A 24,827-nucleotide genomic window follows, 5' to 3' on the forward strand; every position below is an offset into this window, starting at 1 on the left:
TCCGGTGGTGCCCGCCCCTTGTCGGCCAGAGGGGGCGGGGCCGCGGGCGATGGGGCGGAGCGGGCTGTGTTCTGGTCCGCTCCCGTGACGCGCTGCCCGCCAGGCTGCGGGGGTCGCGGGGCGTCCGCGTGGGCCAGCGGAGGCCCACAGCTGCGGAGGGAAACCACTGGGAGGGGAGAAGGAGCTCTAGGGAGAGCGAGGCTGCAACGAGGGGAGAGCCGGGCGACGGGCAGGGGCCCAGGCGCGCTCCCCGACTTCCCACAGGCGCGCGCATGCCTGCGTGTCAGGGCGCGCGCTCCCCCTCTCGGACCGAGGCGACCCCAGTCCGTGAGCGGCTTGGATCCTCGCCCGTTCCCTCCTGGTCGTTTCCGCAGTAACCTCTTATCAGAGCGGGCAGCTGTGAGTGGCGCTCACATCCGCCGCTGCCCTGTCGAATGGGGGAAAGAGTTCTTGTGTTCTGAGGAGGGTTTGGCTATGGTCCTTGACCCTATTCTTGTCTCAGACTTGCCTCCCAGGTATCGAGGTCTCCCTGTGGGTTTCATATGGCTTGGTCCTTTAGGAGCTGGAAAAATTAGGCATAAAGTCCCCCCACCCCCTTGACAGAACGCCCCTTCTGACTCCAGAGGTCCTTTATCGAGTGCCAGGCATTGGTCTAGGGGCATTTGAAAAAGATTCACTGAAGGACATTTTTAAGAGTTCGCTTTCTCAGAGGGCAGCTTCTCAAACTCATTCGCTGGTTTCTTTTCCTCTTTCCGCCTGTTTAAGGTTAGTGTTCCCCAGGTCCTCTTGCCGTCTTCCTTTTCAGAGTTTCCTGAGCCATCTCATCCAGGCCCAACAGCTTTGATCCTGCCGTGCCCCCCATAAGAAGTGACCCCTAAGTGAATGTCTCTGCCCACACTTCCCAGCTTGTGGTCCGGCCTGTGGACACATCCAGGTGGAATTCTGCAGGCAGCTCAAACTCAGCAGAGCTTGGTAGATAGATGATCAACTTGGGCTCTGGTGCAAATCACGTTTAGTAACTGGTCAAACAATCAGTCCCTGAATCTCATTGTTTCTTTTTAAATTGCAAAATGGAGATAATGGTACAACTTAGCTTCGTAAGAGTGTTGTGAGGATTAAACAAAATAGTAAAGTAAGGTGATTAGCACTATGCCTGAAATCAGTCGTCAGTAAATGTTAACTATGTGATGGTATCCCTCATTAAAAGTGTGATCCCCCATAGACCGACTCTTCCTTCTGGGTTTCATATCTCAGTGGATGACCTTCCACCCAGTTGCCTGCCAGATAACGGACCAGGACACCTTAGGTCGTTGCTGATCAGGCTCCTGCTTGCTGGCTGATCAGGCTCCTCCATGCCATTCCCTCCTATCCACCCTGGTTGGGCTGAGTCAGGTAGAGTCCCTACTAGGTGCCAGGCAAGTGCTACATCCTTCAACTCTCTTTTCCAAGCCTTGTGACTCACACGGAGGAGCAGCTCTTACTGCTGCCACAGCATTTACCTAAAGTTTTACTTCCGTAAAACAGTACCAAGGAGGGATAGTGCTAAACCATTCATGAGAACTCCATTTCCATGATCCAATCACCTCCCACCAGGCCTCTCCTCCAACAATGGGGATTACATACAGTTTGACATGAGATTTGGGCAGGGACACAAATCCAAACCATATCAGTCCTGCACTACCTTCCCTTCACCATCACCCTCAATTTGGTATTTCCTTTCCTTTCCCAGGCTACTTTCTGTATGGCCATTATCACATTTGTCCCGTTGTATTGTAATTTTTTGTTTACATCACTGTCTCCCTCTTTAAGCTTTGAGTTTCTTCAAGATGGGCCCGTTACTTATTTAATCTAAGGAGCAATGAGCCCTCTTTAAATGTTTGTTGCTTACACAAATGATTGCCATTTGTAGGGGGAAATGAAGGCAGGAAAACCAGACAAAATTGCATAGGCAAGAAGCTGTGAGGATCAGTGAAGTAGGATAATGGTCCTGGTGTTAGTTGAATGGGGATAAGTTTAAAGAGGAGCTGGGCAACTGATTTGTTTTCAGAAGAGAGGGAGAGGTCAAGGATAACACCTGGATTTCTTATTTAAAGTAATAGATAATGGGGCCATTGACCAAGAAAGCGACTACAGCAAGTCTGTAAGAAAGATAGCCTTCAGTCTTGATGCATGAGACTTGAGGTGCCTATGATAACATCCAAACGTGGTATTCCAGTAGATGGTTGAAAATATAGATAGGGAATTAAGTGGGGCATCTCTCCTAGAAATTTTGACATTGGTATATGGGCAGCAATTAAGACCATGTTTATGAATGAGTGCGTGGTGATAGGTGTGCCAAATATTTCCTGTTCTCTTACAGGAATATAGGAGGATTGTATGCCCTGGCCTCCCTGTGATGGGGTTGAACTACATGACATGTTCTCCGAATTAAGTGTGAGCATAGCATTTAATTGTTGATGCAAGACCTTCCAGAACTCTTTTTCTCTTTGCCATGGCAATCATCAGTGTTCCAGAGAGCATATGCACGATCAGCCTTGGTATTGGAGGGAAGATGATGCGGAACAGAGTCCCAGTCACATCATGAAGGACATGTAAAGTGAGAAGTAAACCTTGGTTGTTTTAAGCCATTGAGATTTGAGTTTTGTTACCAGAGCAGATCTTTGTCATCCTGGATAATGTGCCTGAGAAGAAGAGGTTTAAGGAAGAAAACTTGTGAACACCAATGTGCTTGTTAGACTCCTTTGCTTGTAAGAAAGAGAAACTCAAGAGACTAATGAAAAGAAGGAACAAGTGTTTATATGGGTATATGAGTAGCTATTAGGAGCCCAGGCATAAGCTACTCTCTTATTTCTTTCTCATTGTGTCTCTGCTCTTCTCTACCTCTTTAATCTATTCTCACACTACCAACTGGCTAATTAATCCACTTCTTATCCTTTAGTCTGCATTTCAGAAGAATATAAGCCAGTTCCAGAGCTCTTAGCTCTAAGTAGCTTCATGGGCTGCCAGCCAACCTGGAAATGAGCTACTCTTGGGTCAGGTGCCCATCCTGCTCTAAACAGTGTCACTCCTACCTGAAACATCATTTAGCTTTCCTGGGCATGGGACCTCTGGTACAGCAATGCAAGCAGTAGTGGGATATTTCTATTCTCGTCCCACTACAATTTATTTTTCACAGAATTGTGAAAATTATGTTTTACAATTGGACATCAGATGTGTCTTAATCCATATCTACCAGCCCACTACAACCAGCCTAAAACTCTTATATTGCGTTAGGGAAAGACCCAACTCTCTGCCTGGCCTACAAAGCCCTTTATGATCTAGCCTCTGCCTGACATTCCTACCTCACCTCCTGCCACCCTCCCTCTCACACGTTCCAGCCACCCAGGCCTCCTGTGTCTCCCTTGGATGAGTCAAGCTGGTTTCCTCCTCAGGACATTTGCATTCTGCCCTTGCCAATCTTTCTTGTTTGAACACTCTGCCCTTGGCTCTGAGAAAGCCTGGTTTCTTCATTCTTATTCGTTTTAAGCTCTCCTGTCATCTCCTCAGAGATGACTTCCCTGATTACCCTCATCTAAAGGACTGCCCTCTCTACATCGGGTTACTGGTACCCCTTATTTTCTTCATAGCACTTATCATCACCTGAAATTGCCTTGTTTATTCCTTTACTTTCTGTCTTCCATAAGCAGAATGAAATACCATGAGAGTGAGTATCTTTCCTGTCTTGTGAACCCCTGTACTCTGATTCCCTAGAATAGTCCCTGTCACACTAAATATTTTTTAAGTGAAGGAAAGGGATGGTGGGCAGTGTGCTCATGTGCTGGTTGTTCTCTGGTGTCGTCTATCCAGGTTCAGTGTCTACCCTTCGCTGGCTTGCTGTGTGTCTCAGGAGGTTGACCTCTAGAGACGGTGTCACTCAGCCTCCACTGGGCTCTGGATTTCCAGTTAGGCTTGACCAGTGAGAGGCACCAGCAGAATATTGGAGGGTAGTACAGGTGAGAAGTGGTCAGGGTATTTATCTCTTCCCGGTTGAGTTTCACTATGGTTTTGGCAGTGGTTGAATTTTGTGAACAAAGTTCTTATTTACCAAGTTTCCAACTCTTTCCCAGCTCTAGTAATGATTTTCTGATGCTTTGTCATCCTTTTTAATACTTCCTTGATTAGACGCTATTTACAGTTGCTTTTGTTGCCTGCAGGAACTCTCACTGACACAGCAGGGGCAGGTCAGAGGCTGACAAGCTCAGTACAGCTAACACTTGAGTTCATATAACTCACCCATAGCCACACAGAGAAAGTGGTGGAAGCAGATTTCAAATTTAAACTCAGGGAGTGTGAGGAGATCTGCAGAAACTGTTATATTAGAAGTCCAAGGAAGAGAGAATGTTAAGATGTTAAGATGGAAAGATGGAATGTTAAGGTGGTTTGTCAAGTGCAGTTGGAGTCCCTTTTTCTTCTGGGTTTGGTGGCCTGCTGCACCTTTGCCTTTCTCTGACTCTCATTAAAATTGTTAATTAAGGGAGATTTTAGAGTCCTAGGCTCAAAATTAAAATTTGGTTTATTTTGTAATACGGCTCCAGAAGCCTTTAATTCTCTATTTAATTTTATTTCTAAAAGAAAAAGATTGGGCACTACTGACCTAGATAAAGACCCAAGATGAGAGAAGGACCAATGAGTGTCCCTTAGATATTTCTTTTAAAGGTAGCCACTAGGGCCTTAGGGAAAGTACTTTCAGGAACAGACAAATTGCACCAGTTTGAGAGTGAATGAAAGGTAACTATGAAAGAGTGAGTTTAGATAGCACTTTTAATAATTTTGGATGGAAAGGAAGAAAAAGGTGATAGCTAGAAGGTAATACAGGGTGAGGAAGATGGGGACATTCTAACTGAAGGATTCCAGTGTGTTTATAGATTGAGGTAAAGAAGGCTGGAGAGAAGAGGGCATTAAGGCACAGAAGAGAGGAAATATAATGAAGCCAGGTTGTAAAGGAGATGAAAGAGAATGTGGTTAAGATATTAGGGGAAGGATTAGATGCAGGGGAGACAGTGCTTCCTTTGAGATTCAAAGGAAAGATGTAGAGATGAATGCAAATTTGCCACTGCCTATTTCTAATCGTAATAGATTCTGTCATTTCAGGATTTATTTTAATGTAGTTGGGGACTGGCAGGTAGTTTTTCTCTCCCCTTTGATAGCCTGGGGCTTCATTTCTGACTTTTCCTGATCAAAAATAAGAACTGATCTATCTTCTCAGCTCTTCAGGTGTCAATTATACAATAAGCAAATTTTTCCAGGCTCCCTGTTATACACTTGCCACTACACTTCTGACTTAGATGTGGTACTTTGTTAGTATCTGTGAGGACTGAAAATGAGATCGAAGAGAAAAATCCAATCAAGCATTAAGTAATCATATTTAAATGGAAAATGGGAAGATACTATTAACGAATTCAATGGTACATCACTCTCTAAACTCTAAATTTGCTATTTTATAATTATGAATTTCTGTGTACTGTACAATATTAGCTTCAGTTAATTTTAAGTGCACCCATAACATTAAATGTGTTTTGATATGTGGTTGTTGAAGCTACCTGTTAAAATTAGTTTGCTGTGATTTATTGTTATTCATACAAATGGTTTATCAAATGCAATTGGAGTCCCCTTTTCTTCTGGGTTCGGTGGCCTGCTGTGTTTTTGCCTTTCTCTGACTCCCATTAAAATCTTTAATTAAGGGAGATTTTAGAGTTCTGGGCTCAAAATTAGAATTTGGTTTATTTTATAACAGGGCTCCAGAAGGCTTGAATTATTTATTTTATTTTATTTTTTATTTTTGAGACAGGGTCTTGCTCTGTCACCCTGGCTGGAATGCAGTGGAGTGTGCATGGCTCACTGCAGCCTCCACCTCCTGGCTTAAGTTATCCTCCCACCTCAGCCTCCTGAGTGGCTGGGACTACAGGCATATGCCACCCCACCTGGCTAATTTTTGTATTTTTTATACAGATGGTGTTTTGCCATGTTGCCCAGGCTTCTTTAGAACTCCTGGGCTCAAGTGATACACCTGCCTTGACCTCCCAAAGTGCTGAGTTTACAGGTGTGAGCCACTGTGGCTAACCAGAAGCTTTGAATTCTTCATGAAATTCTGAACCACATAAACACATAAGCCAGGCATCCCTCAGTGAATAACTCCTGCAGCAAAAGGAAATGAAATTATAAGTGCATTGCATCAAATGGTGGCCTCAGGAGAACAAGGCTGTTCTTCAATAGGCTCTTCAGCTAGCAAGGCAAATAGTTTGTAGATCCTTTTTGGTGCATTTTACAGAAGACAAGTGCCTTTTTTTCAGACTTGCTTAAGATCTGTAATTTAAATAAGTACATTTGGACCCTGTATGAAATTGCTCTTTACTGTTAACAACTAATTCTTCCTGAATGAGGAGTATTCAGCTTATTTGTTCAGGAAGAGTATATTGAGGGTATATACTTTGCTAGACTCTTCTGAGAATATAAAGATGAATTAAAGGCATTTCCTACCTTCAGGGAGTACAATCCAATTGTGAAGAAAAGAACAATAACTCCATTACAAAGCCTGTGTGGTGCGTGCATCAGAGTGGTGTTGAAAGGTTTAGGATGGCAAGGGAAAGCACAATGACTCCAGATGGGGTGGCCGTTTCCAAATAGTGCTCCTAGTTCTGTTCCTTGGATGTGTTAACTAGACACTTGAAACTGAAGGTGTCCTTGATACTCTGAGCTAATGGTGAAAATAACCAATCTTGGACAACTCTCCCATGCAAGGTTACAGTTGTAGTGGGAAATGCTGCAATCTCATCCATGCTTGATCTGCCATCCTCATATTTACACACCCGCCCATGCTTCACCAAGTACGCACCGCCCTGAGGAGTCTCTCCAGTCTCCCTCTCACACTGCTCCTCACTACATATTTGACCCAAAGAAGTGAGTCTTGGTGGAGGCAACATATAAGGATTAGCAGAGAAAGGGGAATCACCAACTCGTATTAGCTAAGTAATTGTTTAGCTAATTACCACTCCCAGTCAGAAAATGAAAAATTATAGGTTGACTCTGCAGATGTGACTTCCAGTCCAGAAGACTCAGAAGATTTGGTGTTTCCAGTTTCCATTAATTTCAATTTCATGGGAAATAGTATTTCAGGATTCCAAAAAGAAAACTGTTGTTCATTTATAAAGGTGAACAAAAATGCCAAATCTTACTGTTATTATACTTACGTTACCATACAAGTTGATATACACACAAAGTACTTCTCAGTCTAGCCACTATGCTAATTAACACCGTATAGCATACTAAGGAGAAAAACTAATATAAACTATCCACCTTAAATTTTTGTTTAAAAATGTAAGTAAAAGGAAAATTCAGAATATTCTACTGCCAATGAACCTTTGTTTACTAGTATAGAAAATATGATTAGAAACTTATATTGATTACTTTCACAGAATAAATTCATTACTTTTTAGTCACACTAATAATGTCTTTTTAGTCACCCAGAATAATGTCTTTCAAGATTTATTAAATACTATGGTTTTATAACTCTTCTCATTAATCAAGACTTAAATAAAATCTATGATTGGAGAAAATTTTAAGAATTTGAACTTGAATCTGGATTTGCATCAATATTATTTGTTTCATTTATAAGATATGAATTAGGGAGGAAAGATCTATACTCTGTGGAACTCTAGGCTTAACGTGACTGACCTCATCTCTTTACAACCTTCTCTCCCAAACCTGTGCTCTCAGTTGAAGAGGAAGAAGAGGGGAAACTTCATCTTCAGTTAAAAGAAAGGAGTGAAAAACAAAGCACAGGAAGTGAGGGGCTTGCCTGCTAAGCCACCAAATAAGATCTTACTCAAAAATGTCTTGTTGGGCATCTACTGTGATCCCAGCATTTTAAAGGATACATTGGAGGTGTACCCTCAAGAATCCATCTTTCAGTGTGAGACGGCCTAAACAACTGCACCACAAAGTGTTAAATACAGTGACAGCACTGTCAGAAGGAATAACTAAATCTGCCTGGGAGTCAGAGAAAGTTTTGCAGCCATAATGATATTTGAGCTGGGTGTTGAAGGATAAGTATACAGTTATTTACATCTTACTCATTTCAAAAGGATTTAAGCTGTCTCTGGGATTTGAGCAGACAGTGGGAGAGTAGAATAGCCTTTCAGGCACAGAAAGTGCCAAAGCACAGAAGTATGAAAAGGTACAATGTGCTTGGGAAGTGGCAAGCTGTTCTGAGGACACATGCATAGAATGCACCTCTATGTACTCTGGGGGAAGCCAGGCAAATAATATCAACAAATATACCATCCTCTAACAGTGGTTTGCAGACTTGAGCATGCATCAGAATTCCCAGGAGAGCTTTTCAAAGAACTGTTTACTGGGCCTCATCCCCAGAGTTTTTAATTCTGCTGGTGTGTGGCCTTGGAAAGCAAGAATTTGCATTTCTCACAAATTCCCGGGTGATACTGGTGCAGCTGGTCTTGGGACCATACTTTAAGAACCATTTCTGGTTTTCTGGACTTCTTCCTATAATCAAATGGGAGTCCCTGGAATTGTTAGAGCTTTAGAAAGAAATAAACATATTTGGATTTAGAAAATTTACTAAAAGCTATGAGGAGAACCAGGGAAGGAAACCACTTGGTAGATTATGTCACATGTCCAAGAGACAGAGTAAATAGACTGCAACCCATTTATGGAAAGATGAAATAAACTTGAGAATGTCTAAAGCATAACAAGATTACTTGCAATGATGGAATATGGGGAATAAGAGAAAGGGAAGGAGTCCAGGATGTTATAATTATGTTCCACAATATAAATGAAATTCTATAGTGTTTATGAATTCAAAGAATCTTATTCCACCAACAAACCATACAAAGTTTTAGATCATGTTCTTGCCAGTATCATGAGCTGGGCCTTTACAGCTAGATAAAGAGATGGCCCAGTCATGGTCATTCAGCAGTCATATCTCAAAAATGTGTAACCCGAAGCCCACTCAGATAGGAGCAAAACTTCCTAAGGAATCTTCTAGGGGTGCTGAACCCACTTCTAGTGGTTGCAGAACTCATTGCACCCACTCTTAGTATCAGAACCTTGGCTGTAAATCTGTTGTGGTGTTTCAGCAAAAGAAACTCAACAGAGTAGACAGACAACCTACAAAATAGGAGAAAATATTTGCAAACTATGCATCTGACAAATGTCTAATATCCAGGATCTATATGAAACTTAAACAAATTTTTGAGCAAAAAGTAAACAACACCATTAAACAATAGGCAAAGGCCATGAACAGTTCTCAAAAAAAGACATACATGTGGCCAAAAAGCATATGAATAAATGCTCAACATTATTAATCACTAGAGAAATGCTAATCAAAACCACAATGGGATACCATCTCACATCAATTAGAGTGGCTGTTATTAAAAAGTCAAAAAATAACAGATACTGGCAAGGTTGTGGAGAAAAGAGAGGGAGGAGTATAAATTAGTTCAGCCATTGTAGAAATAAGTGTTGCAATTCTTCAAAGAACTCAAAACAGAATTACCATTCAACCTGGCAATCTCATTATTGAGTATATATCCAAAGGAATATAAATTGTTCTACCATAAAGACACATGCATGCATATATTCATTGCAGCACTATTCACAAATAGCAAAGACAGGAAATAAATCTGAATGCCCATCAATGGTAGACTTGATAAATGTGGTGTATATGCACCATGAAATACTATACAGCCATGAAAAAGAATGAGATGATGTTCTTTGCAGGAACATGGATGGAGCTGGAGGCCATTATCCTGAGGGAACTAATGCAGGAACAGAAAACCAAAATATCTCATGTTCTCACTTATAAGTGAGAGCTAAACAATAAGAACACATGGACACAAAGAAGGGAAAGCAGACACTAGTACCTACTTGATGGTAGAGGGTTGGAGGAGGGAGAGGTTCAGAAAAAATACCTATTGGATACTATGATTATTATCTGGGTGACTAAATAATCTGTACACCAAACTCCCATGACACACAGTTTACCATATAACAAATCTGCACATGTACCCTTGAACCTAAAATAAAAGTTAAAATAAAATTGTGGTGTTTCCAGCCTGAATATACTTCAACAAGTGTAGGAGCCCTGTCCCCTGACCCCCAGTACATAAAAGACTTCATGAAAACTATAAGAAATTGATAAATTGAGACTGGTGGAAGCCACAAAATGGAAACATAAATATAATTGAGTAAGTTGATACCAATTATATTAAACACTTAGAGGGAGGTTTTGAAATTAACTTCCAGCTTCTCTGTCTAGCAACTATGGAGCCCTTAGCCAAGAATATTTAAGGAATAGTCTCTATTCTGATCTATCCTCCTTTGAATGTTTTTCTTTTTCAGGTGGCTTGGTCCTGATGACACTCTTCTTGAATTATACGATGTTCTTATCTCTTGCGGGGCTGTTGAAATAATCAAATCTTTGTACAAACACTTATTTATCTTTTTGCAGATTTTGAATTTTCCCATCAATATAATTTCTGTCAGTAGTATATCCAAAGTAGTTGCTTTCCTTAATCCTCATTACTAAATATTTATAACTCATTAGCCTTTCTGTTTTTGCAGCCCATGAACCCTCTGTGTCTCTTGGATTGGACTACAGCCTTTGTGGTGTGTCCTTGGTTAGGACTGCACAGGGGGTGGAAGGAAAGTATGGAGTGGGGTGGGAGTAAGATAGGAGTTACATTTTGCTCCTTTTGACTGGAAGGATAACTTTCATATGGGGTTTAAACTGAATAAAAGACTGGCGCAGTGGGTCATGCCTGTAATCCCAGCACTTTGGGAGGCTGAGGTGGGTGGATCACTTGAGGTCAGGAGTTCAAGACCAGCCTGGCCAACATGGCAAAACCCAGTCTCTACTAAAAATACAAAAATTAGCCAGGTGTAGTTGGGGGGGGCCCTGTAATCCAGCTACTTGGGAGGCTGAAGTAGGGAGAATTGCTTGAACCCAGGAGGTGGAGGTTGCAGTGAGCCAAGATCACGCCACTGCACTCCAGCCTGGGTGACAGCGTGAGACTCCATCTAAAAATAATAATAATAAATTATTGGGAGAACCCGCCCACAATATTTCAACGTAGGTTCTTTCTATTTTCTCTAAGTGTCAGCCAGCTGAGAAATAAAGAGAAAGAGTACAAAGGGAGGAATTTTACAGCTGGGCCTCCAGGGGTGACATCACATATTGGTAGGACCATGATGCCCACCTGAGCCACAAAACCAGCAGGTTTTTATTAAGGACTTTAAAAGGGGAGGGGGTGTACGAACAGGGAGTAGGTCACAAAGATCACATGCATCAAAAGGCAAAAAGGAGAACAAAGATCACATGCTTCTGGGGCCAATAAAGATCACAAGGCAAAGGGCAAAGCAAAGATCACAAGGCAAAGGGCGAAATAAAAAACTCCCACTAAGGGTCTATGTTCAGCTGTGCACATATTTCTTGATAAACATCTTAACAGAAAACAGGGTTTGAGAGCAGAGAACCAGTCTGACCTCAAATTCACCAGGGTGGGTTGTTTTCCCCACCCTAATAAGCCTGAGGGTACTGCAGGAGACCAGGGCGTATTTCAGTCCTTATCTCAACCACATATGACAGACACTCCCAGAGCAGCCATTTATAGACCTCCCCCCAGGAATGCATTCCTTTCCCACCATCTTAATTATTAATATTCCTTGCTAGGAAAAGAATTCAGCGATATCTTCCCTACTTGCACGTCCATTTATAGGCTCTCTGCAAGGAGAAAAATATGGCTCTATTCTGCCCCACACTGCAGGCAGTCAGACCTTATGTTTGTCTTCCCTTGTTCCCTGAAAATCACTGTTATTTTGTTCTTTTTCTAGGTGCACTGATTTCATTTTGTTCAAACACACATGTTTTACAATCAATTTGTACAGATAACACAATAGTGGTCCTGAGGTGACATACATCCTCAGCTTATGAAGATAATAGGATTAAGAGATTAAAGTAAGACAGGCATAAGAAATTATAAGAGTATAATTTGGAAAGTAATAAATGTCCATATTAAAATGAAATCTTCACAATTTATGTTCAGAGATTTCAGTAAAGACAGGCATAAGAAATTATAAAAGTATTAACTTTGGGAACTAATATATGTCCATATTAAAATGAAATCTTCACAATTTATGTTCCTCTGCCTCGGCTCCAGCCAGTCCCTCCATTCAGGGTCCCTGACTTCCCACAACAATAAATAAATCGAAAAAAAATTCCTCCCTTGGACAGAAATTTTACCCTTTCTTTATAGCAATATTAAACACAGTCTTTGGCTGCAGTCTTTCAGGAACTTCTCTGATTCACCATTTTGTGCTCACAAATCATATGGGAAACAAAAACTTGCATAATGCATTTCCTCAGTATTGGGGTAAGGGGGGTTAATAAATTAGACCTCCTCACCACCTAAGTTTTGAACTGTTGAGAGAGATGTAGGTCAGTCAACTGAAGGTCAAAACTTTAACAATATTCCTGATAGAGTTGATGGAGAATGGACCTTAGAGTGAGAGCCAAATAATAACTCTCTACTGCCAGCAGGAACCTTGGAATAGCCCAGTAGCTGGAAGATTTGAGTGTAGAGCAGACAGACTAACCTAGGCCAATCACTGTCACCCACTTACCAGGTAATTAATTTAACCACCACAGAGAGCAAGAAGCCACAAGAAATACTTCCTCATGGAAAGCAAAGGATAAGTTATGTAAGACGTATATTTTATAAGAGAGTTTTAAAGATAGTAATAAAAAAAATGGCCAGGTGCAGTGGCTAACACCTGTAATCCCAGAACTTTGGGCAGCCAAGGCAGGAGGATTGCTTGAGACCTGGAGTTTGAGACCACCCTGGACAACATAGTGAGACCCCATCTCTGCAAAATACATTTTCAAAAAAGAAAATAACAATGACTAATGCTAACCATGTCTAAAAATGACTTCTAAACTATAGAAAAATAGTTTCTTCCCTCAAAGGTAATAAATGTCGAACACAATAAGGAATTTTAAAAATTCAAGAAAGTTAATATTCATTTTTCAATCTATGAATGAAGATGATGATTAACTACATGCATATCTTGTGTTGACTCCGCTAAAGGCCTGTTTAATTTTTTAAAAGGTACAATTAGGAGAGTTAAGATTTTCTAACGTCACACACTAGTTCTTCTTCCATCTGTTCCTCCAGTTTGCATAGTGGTAGAGTTAAAGCTGGATCCATGGCCACCCAGCTAGAAATACAATTGTTTAGTTTTACTCACAGCTAGAAGTAGCCACATGAATAAGTTCTCTCCAGTGGAATGGTAACATAAGAGTGATGTGTGCAACTCTAACTTCATTTCTTTGTTTTTTGGGGTTTTTTTGAGACACAGTCTCACCCTGTTGCCCAGACTGGAGTGCAGTGCAGTGGCACAATCACAGCTCATTGCCTCCTCATCCTCCCAGGCTCAAGCAATCCTCCCACCTCAGCCTCACAAATAGCTAGGACTACAGGTGCATGCTACTACACCCAGTTAATTTTTGTATGTTTTGTAGAGGCAGGTTTTTGCCATGTTTCCTAGGCTGGTCTTGAACTCCCAGGCTCAAGTGATCCTCCTGCTCGGCCTCCCAAAGTGCTGGGATTATAGGCTTGAGCCACTGTGCCCAGCTGAGCCTTACTTGTTTAAAACGAGTAGTTGTTCCCCACTTCCATTCCCCATCTGAGTTGAATGCCAACATGGCAGAGACCCAAGGCACCAGGGACCCTTTGTGACCTAATGGAGCAGAGCCACTCTAACCACTTAGTCTGGCCAGACTGTGAGATGAGAAATAAACTCCTACGTTATTTAGGCCACTATATGTTTAGGGCTTTTTTTTTTTTTTTTTTTTTTGTATCAGCTTAACATATCATTTAGCACAAATATGTATACCCACTTAAAAGGTATTTTTAAAAAATATTCAATAGAAAAATATCTGTACAATTAGCTACTGTGGTGGATTGGATAATGGACCCCAAATAATATGCCTACTCAGAACCTGTGAACGTGAGTTTATTTGAAAATATAGTCTTTACAGATACAATGAAGGTAAGGATCGCCAGATGATATCATCCAGGATTAACCAGGTGAGCCCTAAATCCAATGGCACGTGTCTTTATAAGAGACAGAAAAGAAACCAGAAGACAAGAAAACCACGTGAAGGCAGAGGCAGAGATGGAAGTGAGGCATGTGAAGCCAAGGGACACCTGGTGTCCGCAGGAGCTGGAAAAGGCAAGGAAGGCTTCTCCCCTAGAGCTTTTATAGAGAGCATGGCCCAGCTGACAATTTGATTTTAGACTTCTGGCCTCCAAAGTGTGAGAAAATAAGTTTCTGTTGTTTTTAAGCCACATACATAGTTTGTGGTGATGTCTTATGGCAGCTCCAGGAAACTAGAACAGCTACCTAATAAAATTTGATCATGAGGATAGAGAAACTGGACATGGAGAAATAAAAAGAACAATTTCTTGTATTGTTATGAAATGCTGAGAGAAGCACAGAGCACTGTTTACATTAGTTTTATGTACTGGCTCATTCATTCATTCGTGACTTTTTAAAAAATTATCTGAAATGCCTCAACTGCTGAAAGGTGCAGGGCATGTAAAATGAACCACAGGGTCCCAGCCCTCAAGAGGTTCCTTGTCTCCTTGGAGAACATAGATGTTCATAGACAATACTATTTTATTCATTTTAAAAATAAATTTCATGTGAGAATTACAGGCTACTTGGCAATGAGGAAATCACTCACTGAGTTGTTAGGAAAATAAGTTTACCTGTCTAAGAAAATCAGATATGCAATTTGTCCCATGATGATAATTCTGTCTGGTGAATAGGATAAAAATATTGATTTTTAAAAAAGGTTACTTGTACTTCTAAAGCAATTCACTTTATAAAATAAATTTTTTAAATAAAATATCCTCTAATTTAGTTGAATGCTTACTAATAGTGATAACGACTTGAGAAATACGCTGAAAAAAAGAATTTGAAAGCTTAATTCTTAGGAAATATTACCACTTAATGATTAATCAAAATGGAATAATGTCTTAATATGAAAATAAAATGACTTACAGAGGCAAACATTTCATTTATATTTTAGTGATATCATTATATTAAAAGTTAAGTACCAAGAAATCATGTAAACACTTTTAATGTAATTTTTTTTTTAAGACGGGGTCTTGAGCTCCTGTCTTCAAGTTTTTCTCCTATGTTGGCCTCCCAAAGTGCTGACATTACAGCATTGTGAGCCACCGTGTAGTGTGAGCCACTGCGCCCAGCCAAATGTGATATTTGTTATTCTTCTATGCCCTTTGGAAAAATGGTATTCTAAAAGTTCATAAAATAAAAGGAATTGGCTTGAGTTTGTTAATAAGTATTAATAAATACAGGAAAAATACTGCTTTGCATAACAAAACTAGTTTAATATTTAAAAACAGTTAAATATTTTTCATTTGCACAAAAAAATCTGACCAAACTCCTTTTCAGATTTAATGCACGTGAAGTTAAGATTAATATCTTTGTATTCCTGTTTTTATATTTTTATTGCCTTATAAGTTGATGAAATAACATTCCCTTCTAATGTTAATGAAAATCTTCAATTGAGAATAAGCTGGAAAATCTATTTAATAAAGGGACTTTTTCTAGGGGGGCATTTGTGCATAATTCCTCTTCATATACCCAGTATATAAAATATGCCTTTTAAAAAATATTCTGACAGCCCATAAATACAGTACCTATTTCAAAAACACAATTGTCCTGGAGCCATTCCTCAGGTTAAAAGTCAAAAAGCCAAATAACAAATTGGCTCTGTGATGACACAGAAAGAATGTATTGAGCATTATTCCTTGGGTTGCATTTAGACTTGGGTATGAATAGCCCAAGATTCTTCCCTATATTAGTTTCATATTGGTGCAACAAGCTACAGAGTGACCTAAAAAGTGTCCTTCTTGGTTTTATTACAGGTTAAACTGTAAAGCAATATGCGATCTATTGTCTAAGTTATCTCAATTTTATTTTGGAACTTAAGATCCTCACTAGGTTCTCTCATTTTGAGGGTCATCCTTCTTAATTACTCCCACTGTTTTCTGAGTCCCTTCCCCTCCCCGCTAGTATTTTAGTCTGTTTCATATTATCTTTTATTTTGGCTCCCTTCTAATTTTTTACTAAATACTGAACTTGTATGATATTCCCTTTTATGCTAGGCAGTATTATTTTGACACATAAAATGAGGACTTAGTGTATAAGAAATGTATATTGAAAATATGCATAAAAACACTGGAAGGAAATATACCAATATGTTTCCCTTTGAGTGTTATTACAAGTAATTTTTAAAAATCGGCTTAGTACTTTTTATCCTTTCTAACTTTTTTTGACAGAGAAACAGATAGCACTTTATTTTGCTTTGTTCCAACTGCAAAATTGGACAGAAAATCCCTCTAGGTTTTTGTTTGTTTTGTTTTGTTTTGCTCATGGGTTATCTTGTTAAAATGCCTTCACTGGAACTGTTTTATGTCAAGAAGTTTGTTGTAATGTCACCTTGATCATTTCTGACTGTGCTTAGTTAGATCTTCTGGGTTTTTGTTTTGTTTTGTTTTGTTTTTTTGTTAATCTAGTTAGCAGTCTATTGATCTTCTTTATCTTTTTAAAGAAACAGCTTTTGGTTTCATTGAGCCCTTATATGATTTTTGGTTCTCAATTTCATTCAGTTCTGCTCTGATTTTGGTTACTTCTTTCCTTCTCCTAGCTTTGGGGTTACTTTGTTCTTCTTTTTTAACTTCCTCTGTGTGTGATATTAGATTGTTAATTTGAGAGCTTTCAACTTCTTGAGGTAGGCATTTAGCACTATAAACTTTCCTCTTAACACTGCTTTTGCTTTGTTTCAGAGATTTTGGTATGTTGTGTCTGTTTTTATTTATTTCAAATAACTTTTTGATTTCTGCCTTAATTGTATTGTTTGTCCATAGTCATTCAGAAGCAAGTGATTTAATTTTCATGTAATTGTGAGGTTTTGAGAGATCTTCTTGGTATTGATTTCTATTTTCCATTCTTGTCTGAAAGTATAATTGGTATGATTTTGATTTTTTTGAATTTGCTGAGACTTGCTTTATGGCTGAGCATGTGGCCAGTCTTAGAGTATGTTCTGTGTGCAGATAAGAAGAATGTATATTCTGAGGATGATGAGTGGACTGTTCTGTAGATGTCTATCGGGTCCAACTGGTCAAATGTGAAATTTAAGTCCGCTATTTATTTGTTAGTTTTTTGTCTTGGTGATCTGTCTAACACTGTCAGTGGAGTGTTGAAGTTCTCTACTATTATTGTGTGGCTATTTCTACTTATAGGTCTAGAAGTACTTGTTGTATGAATCTGGGTGCTCCAACATTGGGTGCATACATATTTAGGATAGTTAAGTCTGCATGTTGAATTGAAACTTTTATCATTGTGTAATGTCCTTCTTTGTCCTCTTTTACTGTTGTTGGTTTAATGTTGGTTTAAAGTCTGTTTTGCCTAACATAAGAATAGTCACCTCTGTCTTTAATGCATTCCATTTGCATGATAGATCTTTCTCCAACCCTTTACTTTGAGCATGGGATGTCCTTACGCATGAGATGGGTCTCTTGAAGACGGCAGATAGACGGTTTGTTTTTGTTTTTGTTGTTGTTGTTTGAGACAGGGTCTTGCTCTGTTGCCCAGTGGTGTGATCACTGCAACCTCCGCCTCCTGGGTTCAAGCAATTTTTATGCTTCAGCCACCCTAGAAGCTGGTACTACAGGCACATGCCACCACGCCCAGCTAATTTCTATATTTTTGGTAGAGACAGGGTTTCACCATGTTGGCCAGGCTGGTCTCAAACTCCTGATCTCAAATGATCTGCCCACCTCGGCCTCCAAAAGTCCTGGGATTACAGGCATGAACCATCACCCCAGGCCTAGGTCTTGTTTTTTTAATCCAACCTGCCAGTCTGTGGCTTTTAAGTGGGGTGTTAAGACCATTTACATTCAATGTTAATGTTGATATGTGAAATTTTGATCCTATCATGAAGTTATTAGCTGGTTGCTTTGTAGTTTTTATTGTGTGGTTGCTTTACAGAGTCTGTGGGCTATGTATTTAAGTGTCTTTTTGAGGGAGCAGATATTATTCTTTCATTTCCATGTTTAGCACTCCTCCCTTAAGGAGTTCTTGTAAAGTTAGTCTCTTTGTGCTTACTTGTCTGGAAAATATTTTATTTCTCCTTCGTTTATGAAGCTTAGTTTGATGGGATATGAAATTCTTGATTGAAGTATCATTTCTTTAAGAATGCTGAAAATAGGTCCCCAGTCTCTCCTGGCTTGTATGACTTTTGCTGAGAAGTCTCCTATTAGCACAATGGAGTTCCCTTTGTACATAATCTGACGTTTTTCTCTAGTTGCCTTTAAAATTTTTCCTTTAGCATTAATCATAGACAGACTGGTGATTATATGCCTTGGTGATATTTGTTTTATATAGCATCTTGCAGGTGTTCTCTGGATTTCTTGTATCTGAATGTGTATGTCTTTAGGAAGATGAGGAAATTTCTCTTGAATTATTCCCTCAAATATGTTTTCCAGGTTGTCTTCTTTTTATCCATCTCTCTCAGGAATACCAATAATCCATAGGCTTTGTTGCTGTACATAGTCCAATATTTCTTGAAGACTGTTCATTTTTGTAGTTCTTTTTTCTTCATTTTTTTCTGACTGGACTAATTCAAAAGACTAATCTTCAGGCTCTGAATTCTTTCTTCTACTTGTTTCAGTCTATTGATAAAAGTTTCAATTGTATTTTGAAGTTCCTTAATTGAGTTTTTTAGTTACGGTAGCTCTGATTGACTTATTTTTAAGATATTTATTTCTTATTTTATTTGCTGGATTTATTTAGAAGTTTCTTTGTGTTGATTTCAACCTTATCTTGGATCTCATTAAGCTTCCTTGCTATCTATGCTTTGAATTCTTCATCTGTCATTTCTGATTTTCCATTTTGGTTAAGGACCATGGCTGGAAAGCTAGTGCAATCCTTTGGTGGTGTCACTATAGTGAGATTTTTCAGGCCCTAGAATTCTTGCACTGGTTCTTTGTCATCTGGAGATGCTGGCACTTCCAATTTTTGTAATTATTTTCCTGTGGTTAGGATGTTTTCTTCTTCTTTCTTTATGTTATTGTTTTTTTCCTTCTTTCCATTTCCCTGCTTCCTTAGGGGATGTGGCTGCAGAGAATTTTGGCTAGGGCCTCCTGGCCTTGCATTTATAGCCCTATGCACTTCTGTCAGCAGGTTTTTTACTGGGTTATGCAGTTCCACTCCACCCTTCCTGTGCGGAGATCTGCATGCAGAGGGACCCTCTCTGCTTTATGCCAGGCAGATCTGCAGGCACTTGGAACACCAGTTCACCTTGTTCAGTTGATATTACCCAGATGTTGCTTATAGGTAAGAGCTGGCTGTGGCCAATGCAGCTGGGTATGTACTTGATCCTTGTTTACTGGAAGAAGATATCTGTTGCCTCTGACAATGCACTGATTTATGGGGTGCACAGTGGTCTGAGCTCCCTGCTCAGCCCTGGGTGGTGGAGGGGCAAGATGAGTAGAGTTGGACTGGGAAGGTCCACCTGCAGATCCTCCAATGGCAGGCATAAGTACCACTACTGAGGGAGCATCTAGTGAGTGGCCACCAAGTGCCCAAAGGTATGCCTAGGTGTGGAGCTGAGAAACCTCTTCAGCCCCAGTCCTCTGCATGGGAATGAGGATAGTGGGTACTCTAGGTTCCTGGAGATCTGCCTAGGTATGAGGTGGAGAGGGCCCCTCTGCACCCAGATCTCTGCACAGGAAAGGTGGATCAGCTCAGGCTGCTGAATCAGGTGAGCTGTTCCAAATACTTGAAGATCTGCCTGGGTATGAAGCAGAGAGGGTCCCTCTGCACCCGGATCTTTGCACAGGAAGGGTGGGGTGGCTCAGGTTGTCAATCCAGGTGAGGAGATACTTTGAATGCCTGGAGATCTGCTGGGCATGGAGCGGAGACGGCCCGACTACACCACAATCTATATATAGGAAAGGTGGGGCAGCTCAGGCTGCTGATCCAGGCGAGGGGTGCTCTGAATACCTGGAGAGACCTGCCTGTGTATGGAGCAGAGAGGGACCTGCTACACCATGTTTATGTCCCATGCTACACCATGTCCATGTCCATGAAGGATCAGGCAGCTCAGGCTGCTGGTCCAGGCAGGTGGGTGCTCCGAGTGCCTGGATTTCTGCCTAGGGGTGGAACAGAGAAGACCTTGCTGCACCATGATCTCTGGGGAGCAGGCTGGGGCACCCAGCAAGGACACATGCAGACTGATTCCAGGTCACCAAGCTGGCCCTAGCTGCAAGTCTTGCCACCCAGGAGAAACTACAGCTGTAGCAGCTCTCTCCTGCCCCAGCCTTGTGATAGGAGAGAGCACAATTCCAGTGCCTACTGCTGAGGTACTTCCCAAATTGTGGCTATGTAATTCCCTACCCCACTCCAGGGCAGGTGCTCCAATCTCTTGGCAGAGACTAAAATGCTTCCACAGCCAGGCTGCTAGGTTGACAAAGAATGGCTGACTGTGTATGCATCTGGATTTAAAATGGCATCCTGCTTTAGGTCCCGGGTCTGGGAAAATGCCTGCAGCTTTTTCTGGTGTCTTTCCCTCACAGTGTCTCCAAGCCTCTCCCCAGTTTATTCAGAGCTTGGGAGAAACAAAGTGCTTTCCCTTGGCCTGGGTTGCTTGGATCCCCAGTGGAAAGGTAAGTCACAGAGGAAGGTTTTCTGCCTCTTTCACATACTGGGGCTTCACACACTTTTAGTAGCCAGATACTGTCACAGGAGCTGTTTGCCCACATTATCCTCCCTGGGATCTGGGGTGTCCTTCACAATTCCAGTGGATTCCCATTTTCCTTCCTGAATTAAAGCTCACAAAATTGATCTTTAGGCACTATCTTGTTATTTCCCAGTTGCTGAGGCATGCTAAAAGCCTCTAATCTTGGAGGGCAAAAACTCCTTTCTAACTTTCTATAATAAAATCTGATAGATATTTACGTTTGTTTATTTGCAATTTAAAGTGTCAGCTTTATTCTACAAATGTAAATAGGTGGAAGGAGATAGCTGTGGGGTCTCTAATGCCTGTCCTCCAGGGAAGACAGCTGGGTTCACAGTTGTCTTCCCCAGGATCAGTTAGAGAAGCTGGAGAATCCCATTAATCTCTTTTAAGGAATCCCTACGTATGTAGGGATACCTTTGTATGGCAAAGGTAGTGTTGAAGAGTCTTTTTGTGACTTACCAATTCATGAGGCACATAAGCACCAAGGAGCCAGCATTGTACATATTTTACTTAATCCAAATTCATTGTAAATGAGAAGTATAAAATGATATTTAGAAACTATTGTCCAATGGAAGAGAAAAATCAAATGGGATCACTGACATACTCAATTTTAGCTTAAGTTAAAAAGAAAAGGTGATAAAATTATATTTTTGTTTAAGTACCTAGGTATCTACTATGATTTTAGAATGCCACATGGTGGTTATCAATTCATTAGACAGAGGCTTGAAATGTATTTGTATACATATGTAGATGCATATAATTTTAATGAATTATCTTTTTGCCATTAAATTCTATGTATAGCTTATCTCAGCAGTATTGGTTTTTGGTAATATATTGTTTGATAAATCTTTGGAAAAGTTATCATGAAATCCATTGTTGTTCTATTCAAGCAGCCAGAAAGCACTTTATTTTAAGCATGATTCAGGTGGTAGAAAGAATAAAATCAGTTTTGTGTTGGTGTTGCTGCTTTTTCACTCTGAAAAAGATTTTTGTTGCGTTAAAGCCATTTTGCTTCTCGAAGTGAATCTTCTTTCCTATATTTTCAGTAAGGTTTCTTATGGGCATTTTCAAATAAAATATATAAGTGGAGACATATTAAACCAGTAATATTGCTTTCCAGGTGTTCAGTTTCAACTTCAAAACACAAAGAAAAATGTCAAATAGGACTTAGAATAAAGTTGCACTAGGTTTTTAAGACTTACAACATTCACTTATGGAACTACTCATATTTTAAGACAAATATAAAAATGTTCCCCCTGGTGAAATGTTTTCTATTATATGATACATAGTTAAATCAATGAGAAATAAGAGCAAGAATAGACAAATACTAAAGAGAAGCTTCATTGTGCAAATATCCGCAGAAAAACCTTGAAAAACATACCTCCCAGTTGTAAATATTACAGCTGAGTTTACACAAAATGTCTATTAAAGCCAGTGGGAGTCATGCATTCATACATTTCTGGCTAGTATAGGAGTTTTTAATAATCACTAAAGCCTTATATAAAGGTCTGTGTGATTCCTTGTCTTAATTATTTTAAGTAGCAGTTCCTGTTTCAAGGTCCAACTTTTCTGCTGATTCAATGTTTTGAAACATCAATTTCTGAAAATAAGGGGATAATCACTATTTCAGTTGTAAATTAGTAGGTATCACATTTGCTTTTGTAAACTTGATTTGCAATTGTTGTTTAAGCATTTACCTATTAGCATAACAACAGATAACCTCATATTATGTTTTGGTAATGACTATGTAGACATTTTATCTGTGAGAGGGCTAATGCCTGTCATGAATCAACCCACTAGTAACTTGTGCTTAATTTAAATCTGGTTTTAGCCTAATGGTTTGCTTATCTCACTTTGAGGGGCTGTTAAAGATCAAAAATAATTTAGAATTTTAAAAATTTGTATTACTTTTCAGAAATAGAAAAATCATGTTATAAAGAATCAACTAAAGCAGTTTGAACACAACAGATTTGATGAAGGCCATCTATGTTTGCTGCCTCCATAACTTGCCTTCCTTAACCTATTTATCTGCAGATGCTGTAGAAGAACCTCTTCTGCAAGACCATTCATTCATGCCTTGAGACAGTATGAATCAAGCTGACTTTTTTTTTTTCCAAGGAGTTTTTAAGTAAGTAAATGAATATACCAGTCAGGAGATGAAAGAGAAGTCCAGCCTAAAGATGCAAATATAGAAGATACCAGTATTTTAGTAGTTGGTAAAACCAAGGCAGTGTGTGAGATCATCTAGGAAAAAGATTATCTATCAGTTTTCTAAAGCCCATGCCTTTTTTGAATAAACAGAACACCTTTTCCCCCACCCCATTATCATTGAGAATCTTAGCCTCAACATCCACCTAGTTCCAGCTTTGTTTTTGTGTTCTACATTATAAAACCAACATTTTTGGCTTCATTTTCAAATTACTATAATATTTAACATGCCTTTTCAGACTATATATGTGACACCCCGATGAATAAGAAGAGCAGCCAGCTGAGAAGGGGAACTCTACAAAGCTATTTTTTCAACAGCTGTGACTGACCCACTCACCTCACAGGGTGGGTAAGAGCAGCAAACCATATAGATCTCTACTTATATGAAAACCATGTAGGTAGAGATCTTTGAGACTCAGTATATAAATGCCAGAATTTACACGACACTCTTGCTAAAAACAGATAATATCCATTTCTAAGAATGTGTGCAAAGGGAAATTTTTATGTTAGCACTTGCTTTTGGAAAGTCTAGCATGGTATATTACAGCGATTAGTAGTTCTATTCATTGTAAAATTTCAACCACATAGCTGCAAAGTAACTCACGGTAGATATATTTTATTACCAGCATTCAAACCATTCTCCTCTCTCTTAATATTTAATAGTTCTCTAATTCTAAATTTAGCAAGTCAAGTGGAGCAGCTCATGAACAGTGTAGGTGGTAGTATGGGTATCCTTTATTCAGCGTGGGCAGTCTTGGCTTCACTGTCAAGATTTTGTTGAACTCCATGGATTGGTTTACAAATATGTAATTGCTCTGTATATTATGCTGTTTACAGTGAATGTCAAGGCCTTTACTGACACCAATATCAGTAAAATATATTCTACAAAAAAAACAGCATTTTTTACTTTTAAATCAATAGTTCATGTGTACATTATTTAGAAATTTGAGGGAGATTGGGTTACTGTTTAATGTGTTTTGTCAGAGTGCTAAGAGTATTTCTAAACTCGCCTTAACTAAGTCTCCTCCCCTGATACCTCTGAGAGGTGTATTCTCATAAAGCAAATGATTCAAGGGAGAAAGTAACTAAGCAACAACAGTTAAAAAAAAAAACTTTATTAGTTAGGAATTTAGCTTCAAGCCACTACAAAGCTCTAGTAAGCTTGGCTGAGTACATGAAAGGCTTCTTTTTCCTGAGCTTATTAGGCCTGAATAGCCTCAAGCTAAGGCAGGCTCTTAGGATGCTCTCTCTTCATTTCTTTTCCTTTTCTTAGACTCCAGTGGGCACTAATGGAAATGGAGAGAAAGACAAACAAGATGACCCTGTTAGCTCCCTGTGTACTGCAGATGTGGTGTAGGCTGTGCTCCGAACTTAGAGAGAAGAAGGAAGAGAGGACAACCCCTCTATCCCCAAATTCTCTTCCAACCCTGTTCTGCCAGCCATCTGATTGGAAGCAAGAGGGAAGGGAGGCCTGTGGTGACCTCTCTCTTGACAACAGGGGAAAACCTGACCCTAGAAAAATCAGCTCAATCAATATCATGTGATCTTATCAAAGCAAGCAACCCTACTCCCTAAACTGGTGGAAACGGTGTGAATGTCAACTAGAGTTCTATACTTTAAAAACAACAAAAATATTGCAAATTTTGAGTATCCTTCCTAAAGAAAACAACATATTGTAATCTTGTTTTCTGTTAGATAAATCTCTGTTAAAAAGAAGCTTTGTTGGAACTCT

The 24,827-nt window shown here is 39.8% G+C and overlaps 1 long non-coding RNA gene across 1 annotated transcript, besides 2 other annotated features; it reads left to right on the plus strand.

The window, feature by feature from the left end:
* Window positions 1-371: part of a silencer, noted in NCBI's record as "silent region_19352", that runs on past the window's edge. NCBI's record gives its function as "represses an Ori minimal core promoter by ATAC-STARR-seq in GM12878 lymphoblastoid cells {active_cell/tissue: GM12878}" and the evidence as "EXISTENCE:reporter gene assay evidence [ECO:0000049][PMID:35858748]".
* Window positions 323-5,639, plus strand: LOC124906712 (translation initiation factor IF-2). Its single transcript, NR_185471.1, has 2 exons — window positions 323-515; window positions 2,360-5,639. It is a non-coding gene; the product is annotated as a translation initiation factor IF-2 (long non-coding RNA).
* Window positions 20,289-20,789: an enhancer, noted in NCBI's record as "H3K4me1 hESC enhancer chr8:91678635-91679135 (GRCh37/hg19 assembly coordinates)". NCBI's record gives its function as "activates a minimal SCP1, AML or CMV promoter by ChIP-STARR-seq in naive H9 embryonic stem cells {active_cell/tissue: H9 hESC(naive)}" and the evidence as "EXISTENCE:reporter gene assay evidence [ECO:0000049][PMID:30033119]".

This window comes from Homo sapiens, chromosome 8 (genome assembly GCF_000001405.40).
Source record: "Homo sapiens chromosome 8, GRCh38.p14 Primary Assembly".
Lineage (NCBI taxonomy): Eukaryota > Metazoa > Chordata > Mammalia > Primates > Hominidae > Homo > Homo sapiens.